The sequence below is a fragment of the Homo sapiens genome, chromosome 8 (genome assembly GCF_000001405.40).
Source record: "Homo sapiens chromosome 8, GRCh38.p14 Primary Assembly".
Taxonomy (NCBI): domain Eukaryota; kingdom Metazoa; phylum Chordata; class Mammalia; order Primates; family Hominidae; genus Homo; species Homo sapiens.
In genome coordinates, this window is record NC_000008.11 from 118,058,002 (window position 1) to 118,076,976 (window position 18,975).

At 40.3% G+C, this 18,975-nt stretch overlaps 1 protein-coding gene across 1 annotated transcript in view, besides 3 other annotated features; it reads right to left on the bottom strand.

The window, feature by feature from the left end:
- Positions 1-18,975, bottom strand: part of EXT1 (exostosin glycosyltransferase 1) — a 317,337-nt gene that overhangs the window by 263,512 nt on the left and 34,850 nt on the right. The gene's annotated exons all lie outside the window — the stretch shown is intronic.
- Positions 16,493-17,006: an enhancer, noted in NCBI's record as "NANOG-H3K27ac-H3K4me1 hESC enhancer chr8:119086733-119087246 (GRCh37/hg19 assembly coordinates)". NCBI's record gives its function as "activates a minimal SCP1, AML or CMV promoter by ChIP-STARR-seq in naive H9 embryonic stem cells {active_cell/tissue: H9 hESC(naive)}" and the evidence as "EXISTENCE:reporter gene assay evidence [ECO:0000049][PMID:30033119]".
- Positions 17,202-17,702: an enhancer, noted in NCBI's record as "H3K27ac hESC enhancer chr8:119087442-119087942 (GRCh37/hg19 assembly coordinates)". NCBI's record gives its function as "activates a minimal SCP1, AML or CMV promoter by ChIP-STARR-seq in naive H9 embryonic stem cells {active_cell/tissue: H9 hESC(naive)}" and the evidence as "EXISTENCE:reporter gene assay evidence [ECO:0000049][PMID:30033119]".
- Positions 17,703-18,203: an enhancer, noted in NCBI's record as "H3K27ac hESC enhancer chr8:119087943-119088443 (GRCh37/hg19 assembly coordinates)". NCBI's record gives its function as "activates a minimal SCP1, AML or CMV promoter by ChIP-STARR-seq in naive H9 embryonic stem cells {active_cell/tissue: H9 hESC(naive)}" and the evidence as "EXISTENCE:reporter gene assay evidence [ECO:0000049][PMID:30033119]".

The following is an 18,975-nucleotide window of genomic DNA, read 5'->3' on the forward strand; positions in this document are numbered from 1 at the left end:
AAAAAAATCGAAAGTGATCTGCACCAGAGCAAACCACTGTCACTACCTGGGATGTTTAGTGGCTTCAGGAGTATATTCCCAAATGACAATGTATCTCCCAACACTTCCACATCAAATAACTTCCCCACTCACACACAGACAGACACAAATACACAACACACACAAATAACCTAAGGAGGGAAAATATTTTAGCAGCAGGAAAAACCTGTTTCTGTGCTCTAGGACTTCTGAATTAATTTTCTAAGGTTTGAAAGTAATATACTTTATATTGTTTAGTAGCCACACTACCAGCAAGAAGTAGAAGTAGCCAATACCTCAATAAAAAGTTGAAGTACCGCCTAAAAAGCAGCTCACACTTTGGCAAAGAGTGCAAAATTACAAGTATGTTTCCTTTTAATGCAAAGACTGAACTCTAATAACTCTGTAGTCAAGCAATAGGCAGACGAGTTAAGTATCAGGATTTCTTACTTATCCTAACACCTTCTCATAAAAAGAGAAACCAATTATTTCACTAAATGATTAAAAAGAGGCAGACATCTAAGACTGTTTGGAGTTCATTTTGTTAGAAAGCTTAGACATATCTTTCACAATTGAGAAGAACTAGAATTTTTTTTCAAAAGAGGATTACTAATCCACCTTATATAGAATACTTTTTCCATAAAATTTTCCACTCAAAAATGTTTCATATATATGTGCATAACATGATATAGATTAAATAGATTAGGTAAATATAATATAAACATATGGATGGATATGATAGGTATAGATCTACAGAAAAATATTAATAGATATAGATATACATAACTGATTAACGAATGAATGGACTGATTGATTGATTGGCAGACAGGCAGGCAGACAAAAAAGTAGAGGATTTACATGGACTGGACCCAAATTAAAATTGAGTTCAGCTTCCCTCAATCCAACCTCCAAAATTTCTCTTGTTCTCCCCTTCTGCTTCTCTGTATGATGGTCTTGAGTACCTCCCTTTTCTCCACCCCACCAGACCCAAATTTTCCAGGAAGAAAGATCAGATAAAATCATTAATCTAATGTGCATGTAAATTGCTGGTACTATGCTGGGAGGACCCTAAACAGAAATACACCTACTTTGGCCTGGCCAAGGCAGAGGTTCCAAATCCTGATATTTCAATACTGTGTTTCAGAGCAGGTACAAGCCTTTTAGGGCAACAGGGGAGAGTAGCCAGCGGCTCACGGCAGTATAGTCCTAAGGATGTTGTCCTTATTTGTAGAGTACACTGAATCATACAACTGTCAACTTGGTAAGCCAGGAACTCTCATTTAATGGAATACCCTTCCCGCTATGGTCCTGGGGTACGGCTAGCCATATGGGGAGCTTAATGAGACTTGGAAAGTGAACCTGAAAACAGGCCACCACTCTCATAAGGTTGATGGAAACACCATGATGGACAACGGCAGGTGCCCAATGGGGTCCAGCTTGTCTTTGCTTTCTTCTGCTCTGATCCCTGTTTCTTCCTAACAAGCGGCCCTGTTGAGCAGCAAGGGCTCCACCCAGCACCAGACACATGGCTGCAGACCACAGGGTTTGGAACTCCACAGACACAGAGGCAGCAGCAGCTTTTGGAATGTTTCATCCGTTCCCTGCTATGGTCCCTCATCAGCATCCTGCAGTTCTGACCTGCCCAACCCTACGCAAGAACTTCTGGTGAAACTTTCTCTAATCCTCTCACTTTCCTTCAAGACCTTTACTTCCGCCAGCTCCTCTACTATTTGAGGAAGGACCAATTTCTATAATAAATCCCTTAATCCCATAATACTCACCATGTTTGTGTTTCTTTGACTGACAGCTGGTTGATAAATAGGATAATACAGAGAAAAGACCTCAATGCATAGCCTCTGCGTATACTAGTGATCCATTTATGAAACAACTTGCAATTCCATGCAGGTGAACACAGGGATGCAAAAACTGTTCACCAAAGAACACATTTCTTTACTGCCACACATAGGACCCAAATACACACACTTAGAACCACACTGAACCTCTAAAAATCTTCTCCAAAAATACTACCATCATCACAAATCACTTGCTACCACAGAGCGCTCAATGAGTGCTAAGGTTTCAGTATTTCACAAGACAAATAAACAACTCTCAGGTAAAAATGAGTAAGTGACTTCTTTCTTATGCGTTATGTTCTTACCCCCCAAAAATAAAACAAATCTTTCCTAGATTCCCTTTAGTCAAGGACCAATAGATCCATTTATCAACACATCTTAAGCCAGTGGTCACAAATTGGGTTCTTGCAAGCTGATTCTGGCCCACAGACGTGTTTGATTTGGACCTCCGACTTTTTCGAATGTTTGAACTGATCCCAATTTTTGGAAATTGGGAGATTTTCCCTAAAATTCCACATTTCCAACTTCTGAAAGACTCGAAGGTCTAGTCCCCTGGCCCCACTTTCTTGCATGACAACCATCTCAGTTACCACTCTGCATTCCACTCATAACATCTACCTGGGCCCTGAAAATAACTAAGATGGCAACCACCAACTTGTACACTCTCAGGAAGCCAGTCCCCAGGGGCCTTAGAGGATCAAGGAGGTTCTCTTCATGTGACGTCTGCATTTCCTCAGCTGGTGACTTGCTGGTAAGGGCCATTTACATTTGGGGTTGCTTTTAATGCCCCCATTTTCCAGGTCATAATGTAGCACAGTTCTCCAGTTAAAGGAGAGATGATTAAGAAGAGGCACATACCTTAAGCAATTAGGGCTGTATCAACATGTCCAGGAACAAGCTGGAACACCACCTGGCTCAGCTGCTTCGTGTAAAAATCACATCACCAAAGCATTTGGAGCACAAGTATTATTCTTCACCAAGAAGAGCAATTTGAGGAAGACTTATCTGCCTTTTATTAGTAAAAAGACACTGCCTGGTATCACTTTCCCTTTCTTTACATCATGAGATGGTGAAACCAAAAACAGAAATGGTTGCACAATGGGTGTTCTCAAGTGAAAGGGATTTGCAGGCAAAATGCCTGAGACTGAAATGAGGAAGCATCACAGAGACAAAAAATTCCACAAAAAGTGTTTCTGCAAACTTTGACTGAGGCACTTGGGGTAAGTTAATTCCCTTCTCCCTGTACTGGTTTTCTCATCTAAAATCCATCCTTATTAGGGCACCATAGTGAAGTGAACTAAACACTGCACACAAAACACGTGGCTCAGTGGCTGGCACACCCATTCAATAAAGGCTGAAATTACTGTTATCATTTTATTATTATCAACAAAGACAGCTCATGCAAAATTAAAAACACATTCAACCAAAATAGGGAAGGTGATTCCCTTGGCAGCCACTTCAGTCACAGAGAGACATTTGTAAATCAAGAGTCTCCAAGTTGAGAGGTTGTATGTGTTATGATTTAGAGATTGTGTTTGGTTTGGTTCAAGTACAACCAGCAAACACATTCAATAGAAAATGTGCTCATAAAATTGTCTCTCTCTGTAGAATCACGGGATGGCTCGTTACATTCCTAAAACCATTTCATAACCCATTGATTCAACACCACAAGCTTTTTACAAAAATGTCCAAACATAAAAAGGTAAATTCTCCCATGATGGCCTCCACACATCTGGAGGTAAGTGGTAAAACTGGTGAGGTCCTGTGGTAATTTGAAAAGTACTTTGTTCAACTTGCACCTCATTATTCTGCAGCAAGTCATCTGAAAGGGGGCATGCTAAGCAAAATATGAATATGTTTAGTTGGTAAGCCAAATAACATTCCTAGATTTTAAAAGCAACAGGCTGACTTCTAGTAAAATGTTCAGTAAACAGTTATGCATCTTTGCAAAAGATTTGTAGATCAAAGAGTATTTGGATTCTGTGTCCCTTAAGAAAAATTAATAGCAAAGACACTATCTCCGTTTTACAGATTAAGAAGTGGAGCAACTGGATAAAATGACAAGATGCTTTGACTGAATCTCTTAAAAATTCAAAACTCCAAAGTATTACTATCTTGATAAGGAAAGAAATTCCACAGGAAACTTAGAGAGAGAAAATGGCTTGCAATGGTACAGCTTCATTAAAAAAAAACAAGAGACACCAACTGTCAGGTGACATTCACTCATTTCTAAAAATTAACTGAAGAAACGTGGACACGTGTTCCATGACTTCCAGCTTTCTGGTCATTATGGTTTCTGCCTCTCAGCAGTCCTTCCCCGTTGACACAAACTCCATGAAACAATCATCGGAACGTCTGCTAAACTACATGGACAGCTCACTGAGTTGCTCAAGAAATGTTTAGGTAGAGGCCAAGTAAGTTTCAATCTCCGGTTAGCCTAGAGGTCCAAAGATGAAAATGTTGTATCCTAGTGAAGGTGATGGGCTTGCAGACACAGACTTCCCAATGCTGTGCACTTCACGCTATATACAAAGACCACTCAAGGACTCAGGAAGCAGAGGAGAAACTAACCAGGCCAGCCTTACGTGGACACTATTCCAAGACTCCACAAAGTGAGAGGATTTGGTCTAAATACATGACTGAAAAGAGTATCACCAGCTTGTGAAAAGACCCCCGTCTTTTTCACAAGCCATTCAAAGTGGAAGGAATCATATGTTAACAGCCCAGAGATGCGAAATATTCACAAGGAACAGTAGTGGCAGTAAAGATGACCTGGGAAGAATAATTAGGGTCAGTTTAGAAAGAACTATGTCTCAAAGCCTGGGGTTTTGCCAGCAGGAAAAGGGACGGTCCAGAAAGCTTTTAAACAGGAAACTGGCCTAACTGGATCACTGTTTTAGACAGAGTTGTTCTATATGTGGACTGAACAAAGCAAGGAAACTGCATGCTAGACTAGTTGCCAAAAACAAGACTATATAATTTATTCTGTTTAATGTGTCTTTGCTACTCATCCTTCCCTTCATTTCCCTCAAACACCTCATAACTATGACTAGGTCACTATAAATTCCTAAACTCAAAATAATATGGATGCTCAGCTTTCTGGAACATTAAGGGTGCAAATCTGGAAAGAAGAAGGAGAAAATGTCTCATTTCTACCTGAAAGAAAACATTAAATACAAACTTTTTGACAGATGATGGTTTCTGGAGAATTTTTTTTTTTAACTTGAGTTACTTTTAAAACTTGTCATCACTGACAAGCACAAATTAGGTGGAAATTCATTTTTTAAAAAAATAGACAAAGTGGTAGAAATTAAGCAACTGGCAGTTATAGTAAAAAAAAAATTCAAGTTCTCTTTTAAAACAAAGAAGTGCATATCTGCTTAGTAACTATAGTGCTAATCAAGGCAATCACACATCATTCAAAGTTATCACAAACCCGTATTTTCCATTGCCATTCATCTAGGAGTTTCTGTATGAAAGGTACAGACTTTAACAAGGCTTGCAGTGTTCATTGAAAGCAGCTACTTATTTTTCCACCTCCCACAAAAGAAGATGAGGCATTTTCCTAAGCTTTGCTGAAGTGCCAACTGCGAGTCACACAATCACAGTCTGGACAGAGGTGAACCATGACAACTGATGGGACCACCTACTTCACAACATTCACTAACATACCTGCCACATGCATGCAGATGCTGTGCTCTTGTTAGTCTTGAAAATGAATTGCTTCAGTTCTCTGTGAGAATACTGAGGGGTCTGTTTAAGCATGACAAACTAAAAATCCTCTTACAAACACTGCTGCGATATTAGCTACCATCCTTGCTTCGGTTTACAACTAGACTCTCCTGTGAGATCACAGACAAATTCAGCAGACTGTTTTGCTGTAGGTTTTACTTTAAGTATTAACTTCTCAGATCTTACATTATTATTATTTCATGGAGACAAACATCATACACTTAGTAAGACCAGAGCTACACTTTATTTATTTACTTATTTATTTATTTATTTATTTATTGAGACGGAGTCTCGCTCTGTGGCCCAGGCTGGAATGCAGTGGTACAATCTCAGCTCACTGCAAATTCAACTTCCCTGGTTCAAGCGATTCTCCTGCCTCAGCCGCCCGAGTAGGTGGTATTATAGACATGTGCCACCATGCCCAGCTAATTTTTGTATTTTAGTAGAGATGGGGTTTCACTGTTGGCCAGGCTGGTCTCAAACTCCTGACCTTAGGTGATCCATCCGCCTCGGCCTCTGAAAGTACTGGGATTACAGGCGTGAGCCACCGCGTCAAGTCGCTACACACTTTTTTTCTTTTTCTTTTTTTTAATACTTTAAGTTCTAGGATACATGTGCAGAATGTGCAGGTTTGTTACATAGGTATACACATGCCATGGTGGTTTGCTGTGCTCATCAACCCATCATCTACATTAGGTATTTCTCCTAATGCCATCCCTCCCCTAGCTCCCACCCCTTGACAGGCCCCGGTGTATGATGTGCCCCTCCCTGTGTCCATGTGTTCTCACTATTCAGCTCCCACTTATGAGTGAGAACATGCAGTGTTTGGTTTTCTGTTCCTGTGTTAGTTTGATGAGAATGATGCTTTCCAGCTTTATCCATGTCCCTGCAAAGTACATGAACTCACCCTTTTTTATAGCTACATAGTATTCCATGGTATATATGTGCCACATTTTCTTTATCCAGTCTATCATTGATGGGCATCTGGGTTGGTTCCAAGTCTTTGCTATTGTGAATAGTGCTGCAATAAACATAAGTGTGCATGTGTCTTTATAGCGGAATAATTTATAATCCTTTGGGATTATACCCAGTAATGGGATTGCTGAGTCAAATGGTATTTTTGATTCTAGATCCTTGAAGAATCGCCACACTGTCTTCCACAATGGTTGAACTAATTTACACTCCCACCAACAGTGTAAAAGTGTTCGTATTTCTCTACATCTTCTTCAGCATCTGTTGTTTCCTGAATTTTTTTTTTTTTTTTTTTTTCTGAGATGGAGTCTGTCACCCAGGCTGGAGTTGCAGTGGGACAATCTCGGCTCACTGCAACCTCTGCCTCCCAGATTCAAGCGATTCTCCTGCCTCAGCCTCCTGAGTAGCCAGGATTACAGGTGCCCGCCACCACACCCAGCTAATTTTTGTATTTTTAGTAGAGATGGGGTTTCACTATGTTGGCCAGGCTAGTCTTGTACTCCTGACCTCAGGTGATCCACCCGCCTCAGCCTCCCAAAGTGCTGGGATTACAGGCATGAGTCACCGCCCCTGGCCTTTCCTGACTTTTTAGTGATCACCATTCTAACTGGTATGAGATGGTATCTCATTGTGGTTCTGCTGTGCATTTCTCTAATGACCCATGATGATAAGCTTTTTTTCATATGTTTGTTGGTCGCATAAATGTCTTCTTTCACACTTTTAAATATGCTTCTAGATGGAGTCTTTGAAAAGGCTCTCAATTTCCCAGGAACCAACAAACAGATAACATTTCAGAGACTCTGAAGTGGATACAAGGAAAGATCAGGTGAGGAACTAAACTGTGGCAAAACAAAACAAAACAACAACAAAAACCAGACCAGAAAAACCAGGAACACCATGATTTCACAAAGTTGCATCAAAAAAGTTGTCAATTTTCTTCTTTTTCGTCTGGTTGCAAATCAGAAATATTTAAAAGTTTTAATTCAGAGGCTTCCTTCACCAAATGAATCTAAGAATCTGGTATGTGTTGTAAAACTGCATATTGTGTTGGGCATTCAGGAAAAAAATTCTCTGTACATTTGAACTTACACTTTGGGAAATTGCTAAAGGTAGTTTTAGTCATTCACATTCCAAACCAAGCACGACCAAAAACAAGCTTTTAAAAGTTCAAGCATATTTGTGTATTGGGAAAAGTTAGGAATGTAATATTTAGTGGGTGGGCATTTTTAAATAATGTACTTGTCCCAAATCTTCCACTGCACAGCAGAGCTGCAGAAATGGGCTGGAGTCCTCACTCTGCCGCTAAGTATCTGCCTGACCTTGGACATGGGACTGAGGTCTCTCAGTTTCAGTTGCACATTTGAAGAGAAAGAGGAGGTGAGAAGAAACTGGACACAAAAAGTCTAAAGGCCATTCCAGTTCCAATAAGGTTACTGTCCAGTACTATCTTAAAAGTTCTCATTCAGCTATCACATCTGTTTGAAAATTAACTGTAGAGATATGAGTTAATCAACTATAGTTGGCCCTTGAACAACATAGGTTTGAACTGCTCATTCCCACCTACATGAGGATTTACTTCCACATCTGTCACCCGCAAGACAGCAAGACTAACCCCTCATCTTCCTCCTCCTCAGCCCTACTCAACATGAAGACAATGAGGAAGAAGCCCTTCATGATGATCCACTTGCACTTAATGAATAGTAAATATATTTTCTCTTCCTTATTATTTTCTTAATAACATTTTCTTTTCTCTAGCTTTATTTATTTATTTATTTATTTATTTATTTATTTATTTATTTATTAGACAGAGTCTCACTCTGTTGCCCAGAGCTGGAGTGCAGTGGCATGATCTCGGCTCAAGTAGCCTCCGCCTCCCGGTTCAAGCGATTCTCCTGCCTCAGCCTCCTGAGTAACTGGAATTACAGGTGCGCACCACCCACACCCAAAATAGTTTTTGTATTCTTAGTAGAGATGGGGTTTCACCATGTTGACCAGGCTGGTCTTGAACAACTGGCCTCAAGTGATCTGCCCGCCTCAGCCTCGTAAATTGCTGGGATTACACATGTGAACCACAGCGCCAGGCCCAGCTTGCTTTATTGTAAGAATACAGCATATAATATATAGAACAAACAAATATGTGTTAGTTGACCATTTATGTCATCAGCAATGCTTCCAGTGAACAACAGGCTATTCATTGTTACGTTTTCAGGGAGTCAAAAATTATACATGGTTTTTCAGCTTCACAGAGGGTCAGCACCCCCTAATCTACATTGTTCAAGGACCAACTGTACTTGTAGATAAAGCTAAGCTTTCTGGAAATAAAAGTTTTTTAAAAAATTAAAAGCTAATATTATAGATGTTTTGCTACCCAATATGTGCTTAACAAACGTCTGCTCATAAATGATGAAGTCAAATGGGGAATAGACAGCTGCCGTCTGTAAGTCTCTGGTAGATTGTTTGTAACATAGCCACAATTCTCTCCCTAAATGCACACTGTTGAACAATCCCCTCTCTCACTGACTCTAGGTTTAGCCAGGTAACTTGCTTTAACCAAAAGAATGTAGTAGAAATGACACTGGGAGACTCTCAAGTCTAAACTTCAAGAAGTCTGGCATTTTTGAATATTGTCATCTTGGGGCACTGGTGCCATACAAACACACCTGAGCTAACTGGCTGGAGACGTCTTCCTCCTGGAGTACCTATACCACCTCCAACACTGTGTCTGGCTCATAGCAAGTGTTCATTATACTGCGGTTCTTACTTATGCAGGCATAGCTTGGACTAGCTGAAGGAAGAATGTGGTGTGAAGTAACAAAGAAGAATGAGGGGAAGGAATACATGGGCTGGATGGAAGCAGGTGCTATAGCATTCACTGGATGACTGACTGCTTGAGAGAGCCACTATTCTGTTCCTTGTCTAATGAACTTTCCAGGATGGACATAGTACATAACAGAGCCTAGCTTTAAACTAGACTATACACACCATAGCTGAGGAAATCACACCAACGTGAAGCGGTTTCATCCTACATCAAAGCAGTGGTCAAGTCAATACTAATTGGAAGTTGCAAGAATTATCCTCTCTCAATTATTAAATTAACGATCCAGCAATCTTAACTCAGCAAGGATAAGACCAGTTACATGCTACTTGGTTTTTAGAAACTGCACATTAAATCAGAAACCTAATCTTAACATAGGCTACTTCTGCTAACTCTCTTTTAGCTTGGTGACATTTGTGTTGATTCATGATTCATAAGCCCCATGCTGTAAGCTTTGCAGGGCTGGATCAACAGAGTGATGGCTATTAAAGGGAAATAAATCATTTATTTTCCCACTGTGGAAGGTAAGCTTAAGTCACCATCTACAAGACATAGCCATGGTGGCACATTTTCAGAGCATTTGCAATATTAGTAACAAAACTGCAACTACAACTTTCTGATTACCTGAGAAGGGCCCCCACTATATATCTAGAGCTTTAGAAAAACACTTTCATTTAATCTTCATAACACCTTTCAATGGAAATGTTATTATTCTCATTTTTACTGCTAAGCAGGTTGGTTCGGCAAAGCTGTGTGGCCACAGAGCTTACAGTGCCAGAGCTGAGCCTGGAATGCAAGTCTGGCAAACTCCGAAGTTCAAGTTCTTAACCATTCTTCAAACAATGTGGTCAGCCTCTTCTTGGCACCTTGAAAGAAAACTCAAAAATGTAGACATGCTTTTAAAATCCTGTCTTACAGGGAGATCACACCAGTTTTTGTTTGTTTTAGGTTCCAAGGTACTTGTGCGGGATGCACAGGTTTGTTACATAGGTAAACATGTGCCATGGTGGTTTGCTGCACCTATCAACCCATCACCTAGGTATTAAGCCCAGCATGCATTAGCTCTTTTCCCTAATGTTCTCCCCACCCCGCTCTCCCCCGACAGGCCCCAGTGTGTGTGTGTTGTTCCCCTCCCTGTGTCCATGTGTTCTCATTGTTCAGCTCCCACTTGTAAGTGAGAACATGCACAGCAGTTTTTTTTAATCCCCATGTTAAATAGTGTGGCTAATGCAATACATTCAAGATAAATAGAAACCAGAAGTGAAAAACTTGCCTAACACCTAAACCTGGATATATATTTCCTATTTTTAGGCGGCAGAATATATTACAAAAAACACATTCCAAGTACACCTGCCTGATAGACAATAAACACTCAAAATAAATTTTAAAATAATCTTTAATGGTAAATATTTTTTATATTCAATAGACAAGAGACTTTCCTCAAATTTTTTAGAAGAGTTGTTTTCATTATTACTATTACCATTGCTGTTGTGTTACTGCTGTTATTTATTCAGTCCAAGCCTAAGCTGCAAGAAGCTTTAGAGCTTCCACTATTGCCCTTTTGGGACTCTAGTATCACGTGAACAAGCTAATCTGCTGGAGAGGCCTTTCCCCTGGAGTACCTACACCCCCTTCTAGCATAGTATCTGGTTCATAGCAAGGGTTCATTAAATGGCAGTTCTTATTTACACAAACATAGCTTGGACTAGCTGGAGGAAGCAAGTCATACGAAATAACAAGAAAGACTGAGAAGGGACATACTAGTGTATAAAGTAAACCACTTAGCTCTTTGCACTTGCCCATGACTTGTCTTGATCAGTATCCTGTAGCAGAGGTTAACTTCCCATGTGTAATACTTTACATAAAGAGAGGCAACAATCTGTCACTTTTAGCTTAAAATTTCTACAAACAGAATCAAAGAGTGGTCTCACTCTAGCAGTGTGAATCACTAATAGCACCCTCCCACAGTGCTCTTCAGCCCAGTACCCCGTCTATTCCTCTTGCTTATTCTGATTCCATTTCCTCCTCCCTGGGCTGGTGATCTCAACTCCTGCTAAGCACCCCCTCCCACTTACAAATCATGAAACTACAAACATTCTCTTATGAAGCAGATAAGAGAGCAAAAATTACACTTTGGCAAAGTGTAAGTGGTAGGTAGCATGTTTGGAAGGACTACAGATCTAGAGTTAGCGGAGATAGAAAAAGAGGTGTTACAGAAATCAAATGAACACCAGGAAATGGTATTTGAATGGCAAACTTCATCTTTGGAAATAACTTCACACCACAGGTTAAAGGATACTTGTAGCAACGTCGTAGGCATTGGCTTGGGTTTTTGTTTTTATTTCTTTTTTTTTTAATCTACTACTGGACATCATGGACAGTACAACCAAATGATTCATGCAAGGACCAGGGTGAAAATCTACCTGTAGTAACAATGTAATAATACAGTGATCTTTTCATAAAGATTAGCTATGATCCAGGCCACTGATCCAGGCCATAAGAATTTCAGTATCCACATATGTAAAAGGTTTTCTACAACAATCCTATGAACTAGTTAATATCCTCACATACACATTTTACTTCTGAGAATGAGGCTTTAAGCAGAAAAGGTGATTATTTTTATATTGAGAGCCATGTCGTCAACAGCAGATAGATCTGATTATGTCCAAGTTTAAAGTAAACATAAAAATATTTATAAACTTCAGCAAATTTGATTTATACAGTAATGTAACACCGATGGTGCGTTTTTACTACAAAAATGTATTTTTGAAAATTGTTATTTCACTTAACTTTTTTCTGATAGTCCCAAGATTCTTAAAGGACATCATAAATTTCTGTGTGTGTGTGTGTGTGTGTGTGTGTGTGTGTGTGTGTGTGTGTGTGTGCATATCATAAGTGAATGCATGCATACACATATCTACTTAGAGTAAACATACAGTTATTTAAAAAAAATCCTCCCAAAGTATGAAAGTTCCTTATCTCTGCTATGATTTGTTTCGATCCCCTCAAAATAACTAGTGTTTGGCATACAAATATTTTAAAGTTAATGTAAATTAAAATTACTTCTCTTTTAAAACTATCAGAAGGTGAGATAAATTGGATCTCACCCAAGTGTTTGAAAAATCAAAACTGAAAATAACTGATTTAGGGAAAATCGGAACTGATCTATAAAGAAAGCCATAATTTTTAAACTCCAGTATTAATACAAATGCAAATAATCTTTTAAACTTTAGGAGTTAAGACCAAACAAATTCTTTTATGACTTAATTAAGTGTGAATTAATGGGAATTGTATTTTATCATGTACAAATAATATATTAGAATCACAAGAATAGCAGACAGGAGCGGGAACCTTCTGGAAATCTCCCCTGACATAAATTAAGTTGAAATTACTTACTGCAAATGGAAGCTATGTGTAACTGTTCCCTCCATCCTGGCTAGAAAAGGGATCTCAAGAGGTATGAGCACTAAAAAGGGAAAAAAGACTACATAAAATAGCCAATCTAAATATAAAACCATATGAAATATTAAGGATGCGATTTGAATGTTCCTGAGGCCGTTTTAAAGCCTCCATTTGTGATCTGACCCTTTCAGAATAAATATTAATTTGTTTTGAAGTAGCTTTTATGAACAAAACAGCCTCTCATTTCTATCATGTAAGTGGGTGTAGTAAACATAGTTAAGCTGTGAAAGTGAGAATTTAAATAAATAAAAATAGGGTCAATAAAAAGCTACTTCAGTCCACAAATGATTCCGTCATTCAATTTCTGTAAATTGGTAGGTAGAGCATTTTGCAGTGTCTGTCAGCATTTCCATCCTTAGGACTGAATAAATAATTGAAGAATAAATAATTGTGCCAGTGCCTGGTCTCAGGGGCCATTTTTATAGATTGCCATCTAATGATAGTACCTCCTGCGTGACACTGTATTAATATGGGATAAAATTACATAGTTCTTTGTTTGCGCTGACACAGTGATGTTACAATGTCCTTTACTATTGTCTGGAATACAAGGCAGAGGTAATGGTGCAGTGAGTTTTTTACTGTTAAAATCTCCATGACGGAAAGAGACAGCTCTGTTTGTGTATTCCAAAGAAAGTAAGTTGGCAATGACGATTACCATCGCAAAAGTAGTAGGGGGGCAGGGGTGGGGGAGGAGTAAGGCTAAGAAAAGGATTGTTTTGATTACAAATGATGAGTAAGGCTAAAAATAGCTCAATTGGAAGATGATACCTCTTTAGCTTGCTACAGGAATTCTTCAGACCCCTCTCCTCTCCCATCCTTCTATCCACCCATTCTACAAATATCTCACAAGAAACGAATGCTGCACTTGGTACTGGAGTTTTAAGACTTATCAAGACAGAAACGTTCCTTTTCTGTCCAATTTCAACAGGTCTCTTTAGGTAGAGAATATGATAATGATATTGTTATTTTTAATAAACAACAGCTCCCACTCTTTGAGCTCCTATTGCATAAGAAGCACTTAAATCTTAAAACAGCATCCTGTCCCATTTTACAAAGGAGAAGCTCCAAAAGATGATGCACCTTGCCCAAGGTCCTAATTACACAGGTGAGTAGGTTAAAAGAAGCCAGGATGAAAATCTAGGTTCACTTCCCAGAATGCAACACTGCCTCTCCTAGTCTACCCTCACCACAGACCCACCAAATCAAAAAGAGGAAGGAATTTATCATTACTCACTTTGGGCAGGTATTAGACTCCCCGCCTTGGTTCCCTCATTTTGCAAAATGGAGAAAAGCATACCTATCTCAGAGGTACACGGTGAGCATGAAATTAGTTGATACCTGTAAAGCTCTTAGACCAGTTCCCTGACCTACAGTAGATACTTAGAAAATGTTTACTATTACCATGGCTTCAAAAAAGCAGGAAAGGACCAATGATACTGAGCATGCTTTAAGTACATATGGATGTATGAAACCATTCTGATTTAGGAAACTGATTTAGGACATTAGAAATGTTGTGAGAGCCATTTTCTCCATTCCATAGCACATAATCTGCTCTACATAATTTAGCATTTAATTATATACTGCCTTACATTGTTGCCTAATTGTCTGACCCAGCAAGACTCTAGCTTACCCTAAGGGGGGAGACCCTTTTTGCTTCTCTCGTTTCTCCCTAAGCCCCTGTGACCAGACCGTCAGTACTTTTGACTTAACATCAATTAATATTTGCAGTGGAAGTTTTACTTACAGAAAACATAATAGGATGAGATCGAAAGCAATGTGGAAATTGGTTGATTCTGGAGATAGATCTGGCTGCACATTTTTTCTGTTCATCCAACTTAATCATACCAACATCTTAGCTTGGCCGTGTCTTTTTTCTGTTCTTCCATCATACTAACATCTGTTCACAAGTGTGTTGGGATTTTAGCTAGGCATTTAACAAAATGTTTCAAGTCAGTTTCAAGGCATGATAAAGAAATCGAGAGAAAAACATTATTAGTGGGAACTCTTACCCAAAGGGACTTACTAATGGGTTACGGGAACCCAAGGCAGGTAGGTCTACAGAGATGAATTGAAGGGTTCTGACTTGCCAATATAGCCATCCAAGACACGAGGAGCACGATTACCAAATTTGAAAGAAGCCTGAAGTGGAGCAAGAATGACCTGATACTGGACTTCAGGGGCAGATGCCAATATTATCTCATCAGGCTGGAATTTGAAGCCAAATCTATTAAGAATTTCAGTATCGAAATATGTAAAAGTTGTAGTGAAGTCCACCAGAGGACAGAGGAAAATATATTCACTTAGTAGCCCATCTAGGAGTCTGTACAAATTTTTAGTTGATTAGAACTATGTTATACATTAGTGACATATGCTATACATTAGTGACATACGCTAACTAATTTTAGGTTACTCAAAGAGAAATGAAATGACACCTCCATCGGTGAAGCATGCTGTGGACGGCATTCATCAGAAATAGATGAGCTCTGGCAGGGTGCAGTGGCTCACCCCTGTAATCCCAGCACTTTGGGAGGCCAAGGTGGGCGGATCACTTGAGGCCAGGAGTTCAAGACCAGCCTGGCCAACATGGCAAAACCCCACCTCTACAAAAAATACAAAAATTAGCTGGGCATGATGGCACGTGCCTGTAATCCCAGGTACTCAGGAGTCTGAGGCACAAGAACTGCCTGAGCCTGGGACGCAGAGGTTGCGGTAGCTGAGATCATGCCACTGCACTCCAGCCTGGGCTACAGAGAGAGGAAAGGAAGAGAAGAGAAGAGAAAGAAGAGAAGAGAAGAGAAGAGAAGAGAAGAGAAGAGAAGAGAAGAGAAGAGAAGAGAAGAGAAGAGAAGAGAAGCCTCTTAAGAAGGATCCAGCACAAATAATTCCTTATGCAGAGAGGGAAGCATTCATGCCCATTCATTTCAGAAGAATGACTGTGTATCATATTAATAACATATAGCTATGACTTACTGAGCAATTACTAAAGCCAAATACTGTGTTAAGCATTTTATATGGATTTCCTTCTCTCATCTTTCCAACGGTCCCTTGGGACAGGCACACTCCAGCAGGTATGACTTCATTAGAGAAGGGAGGAGGGTTCGCCTGGAACCTTCCTTCTCAGTTAACACAAACTTTTCAGGCCCTCTCCCAGCCTCACCTTTCAGACGCTTCCACTCCCGCAGCACAAGAGCGGACAAAGAATTAAGGAAAAGGCAAAACCGGAATGGGGGTGGGGTGGGAGTGGGGGTGAGGGTGAGGTATGACAGAAATGGAGAAATTAGATAAATAACTGCGGGGACGGGGAGGGGGAGGGAAGAAGGATGGGAGATGATCTAAGCAACCAATAGGAAAATATGCATTTTTCTGAGATCACCACCACAAAAGTTCAGAGGTTGCTCCAGACACGGTAAATCTTTTCGTGTCTTCAGAAGTCATTTTCTGTCCCAGACATTCGCCCCTTTTCCTGTTGCAAAGAGAAAGGGGCCAGCGACCCGTGAAGAGCCAGGAATGCATCCGAGGGAGCTCCAGCTAAGTTGCAGGGAAGCTATTGTGCTCCCGTGAAGTTCAAAGGAAAGGACCGTCTGTCCGGGCTGCTGAGCTGTGGTGCAGGCAGAGGGCGCGGAGGCCCGGGCCAGGCAGAGCCCCACGCGTGTCCGGCCCCGCGCACCGCGGCCACCACCTTAGTTGCCTCGTAGGGGGCTACGAGAGAGAGAGAAGAGAGAAAAAAAAAAAAAGTCCCCACCAGACGGGTGAGAACATTGAATTGAGCGAGCCCGGGGCTTTGGGATCCGGCCAAGGGGTGAGGGGCGAGATATTTACATTTCTCCAGGCAAGAGAAAGGGAGAGCTGGGGGCTGGAGGGAAGGCTGGGAAAGAGTAAAAGAAAACAAACTGCTTTTTCCATTAAATATTCATGACAGCAGCTTTGCTAAGGCTAATGGAAAGCATATAAATCCCTTTACAACTCTGTTAAATGCAAAACGAGAAAAAAAAGATGGATGAGGGTCACAGCTTGCTCTGGGCAAATTGGAAGGAATATGAAAATCTGGACCACAGAAGGCTGGAAGCTCAGGGAGAGGAGAGCCGGCTGTGGGTTTTATTCAGACCCGTGCCAGTAGGTGTAGATACCAGTCTCATTCATTTCCCATCACTACAATAAAACACTAGTCAACAAGCGGGTTTTCAGTAACCCCACACTCCGAACAGGCATTTTTCCTCCTACAATTTTTTGTCTCAGATATAATGCCATGGTTACATCTGACAGATGTTACTGCTTTAAATCCTGCTTCAACACTGCTCTGATTTCCAGGAGCACCTGCAAAGGAATCTTTGGGCAAGTGCCCAAATTCCTGGGCCCAGAGAGACCAGGCTGTGCACAGTGTTGGAGTCTGACAAGGGACAGTATCTGGGAAGATCAAGTCTAGACTCACCCCAGGCCACTCTAGTTTTAGGCACCTTGACCGTGTTGTGTCTCCATTCCCGATACTGCAGCTGGACAAAAGGAAGAGAGGCTGATCTATGTGTTCCTCCTAAGGATACATAGCAGGAGGAGTGTCCTCTAAGGCACAGAAATGTTTGTAATGAGGGGACGCTGCACCCTACACAGTGTTTCTAACGACACAAGTTTCTCATTATTTAAACAATGAAAGAAGTTCCTTTGGAAGAAAGAGTTATTATTTGTACTGCAGTGGGTCATTGTTCTGGGTTTTGGTTTTTTTGTTTTATAGTTTATATATGGTATGTTAGGCCATTCTTGCGTTGCTATGAAGAAATACTGGAGACTGGGTAATTTATAAAGAAAAGAGGTTTAATTGGCCATGGTTCTGCAGGCTGTACAGGAAGCATGGCAGTGGCATCTGCTCGGGTTCTCCTGAGGCCTCAGGAAGCTTAAGTCAAGGCAGAAGGGGGAACAGGCATCTCACATGGCAAGAGAAGGAGCAAGAGAGAGTAGGGGAGAGGTTTCACACAGTTTGAAACAATGGGATCTCATGGGAAATCATTGTGTCCTGAGGACAGCACCAAGCCATGACGGATCAGTCCACATGACCCAAACACCTCCCACCGGACCCCACCTCCAACATTGGGGATTACATCTCAACATGAGATTTAAGGGGGACAAATATCCAAACTATATCATATGATAAAGAGAAAACAAATACATACATGGTTATGCTTTGGATAGGGAGTAGATTTATATATCCCCACTGAGATAATTCAGGGGAGAGGGAAGTATATTCCTAAAACAAAACATAAAGCAATATTCCAAAAGAACCTCCCAGAAAATTTGTAAGTTGCTTTATAAGAGTTATATGATCTCAAAGGCCACAAAACACAAAGTCAGCTGCTTTTACATGTACATGTAAGGTATCAACACCGATAAGGTTTTGAGAAAGAATTTCACTTTCCCCATTAGATCCCCATTCCAGTAGGAAAAGGGGATTGTGTCAACACTGGTGTTTAGAACATCCACTGTAATCATTTTGTACTTTCATTCTAGAGAATGTAGATATAATTGGCTGGTTTGGATGAATTTTAACAACAGCTGTAAACGTTAGTAAGTTTTCAATGGGTCCCTCCATCACTGTTACTCCCAAAGTCTTTGTGTATATTTCCACTATCACGCAGTAATTATTCCTTTCAGGAATATGTCTGTCTCAGCCCCTCTCCCCGTAGAACACCTCCTCAAAGGCCTTGAAGGCCAATGGCTGTGTTATTCACCCTCATGCCCAGAAGCAATGCAAGTATCTTATGAATTCCTCAGGAAACCCAATCCCTGCCACAAGTGCTCACACTGTCAGTGCTCACAATAGTAAGTGAGCTCCTATTACAAAGAAGGGTCTGCCGAGTGAATATTTGATGAAATTTTTAGGAGGTCGAGATGCCTTTGTTTCTTAAGTAAATCAATTACTTATTTTTTATCTTGTATTTCAGTTATAGAATTGACTGCAACTGGATGAAAATTATACAGTAATTTTTCTTTGATTTCATATAGATAGAAAATCAAGAATTATTAATGAGCAAATAAAAATAGAGTAATAATAAAATATTTCTTTTTTGTTGTTTTTTTGAAATGCTTGGAAAGCAATGTTACAATTTAAAACTAGAGGGAAAGGAAGGGGGTTGA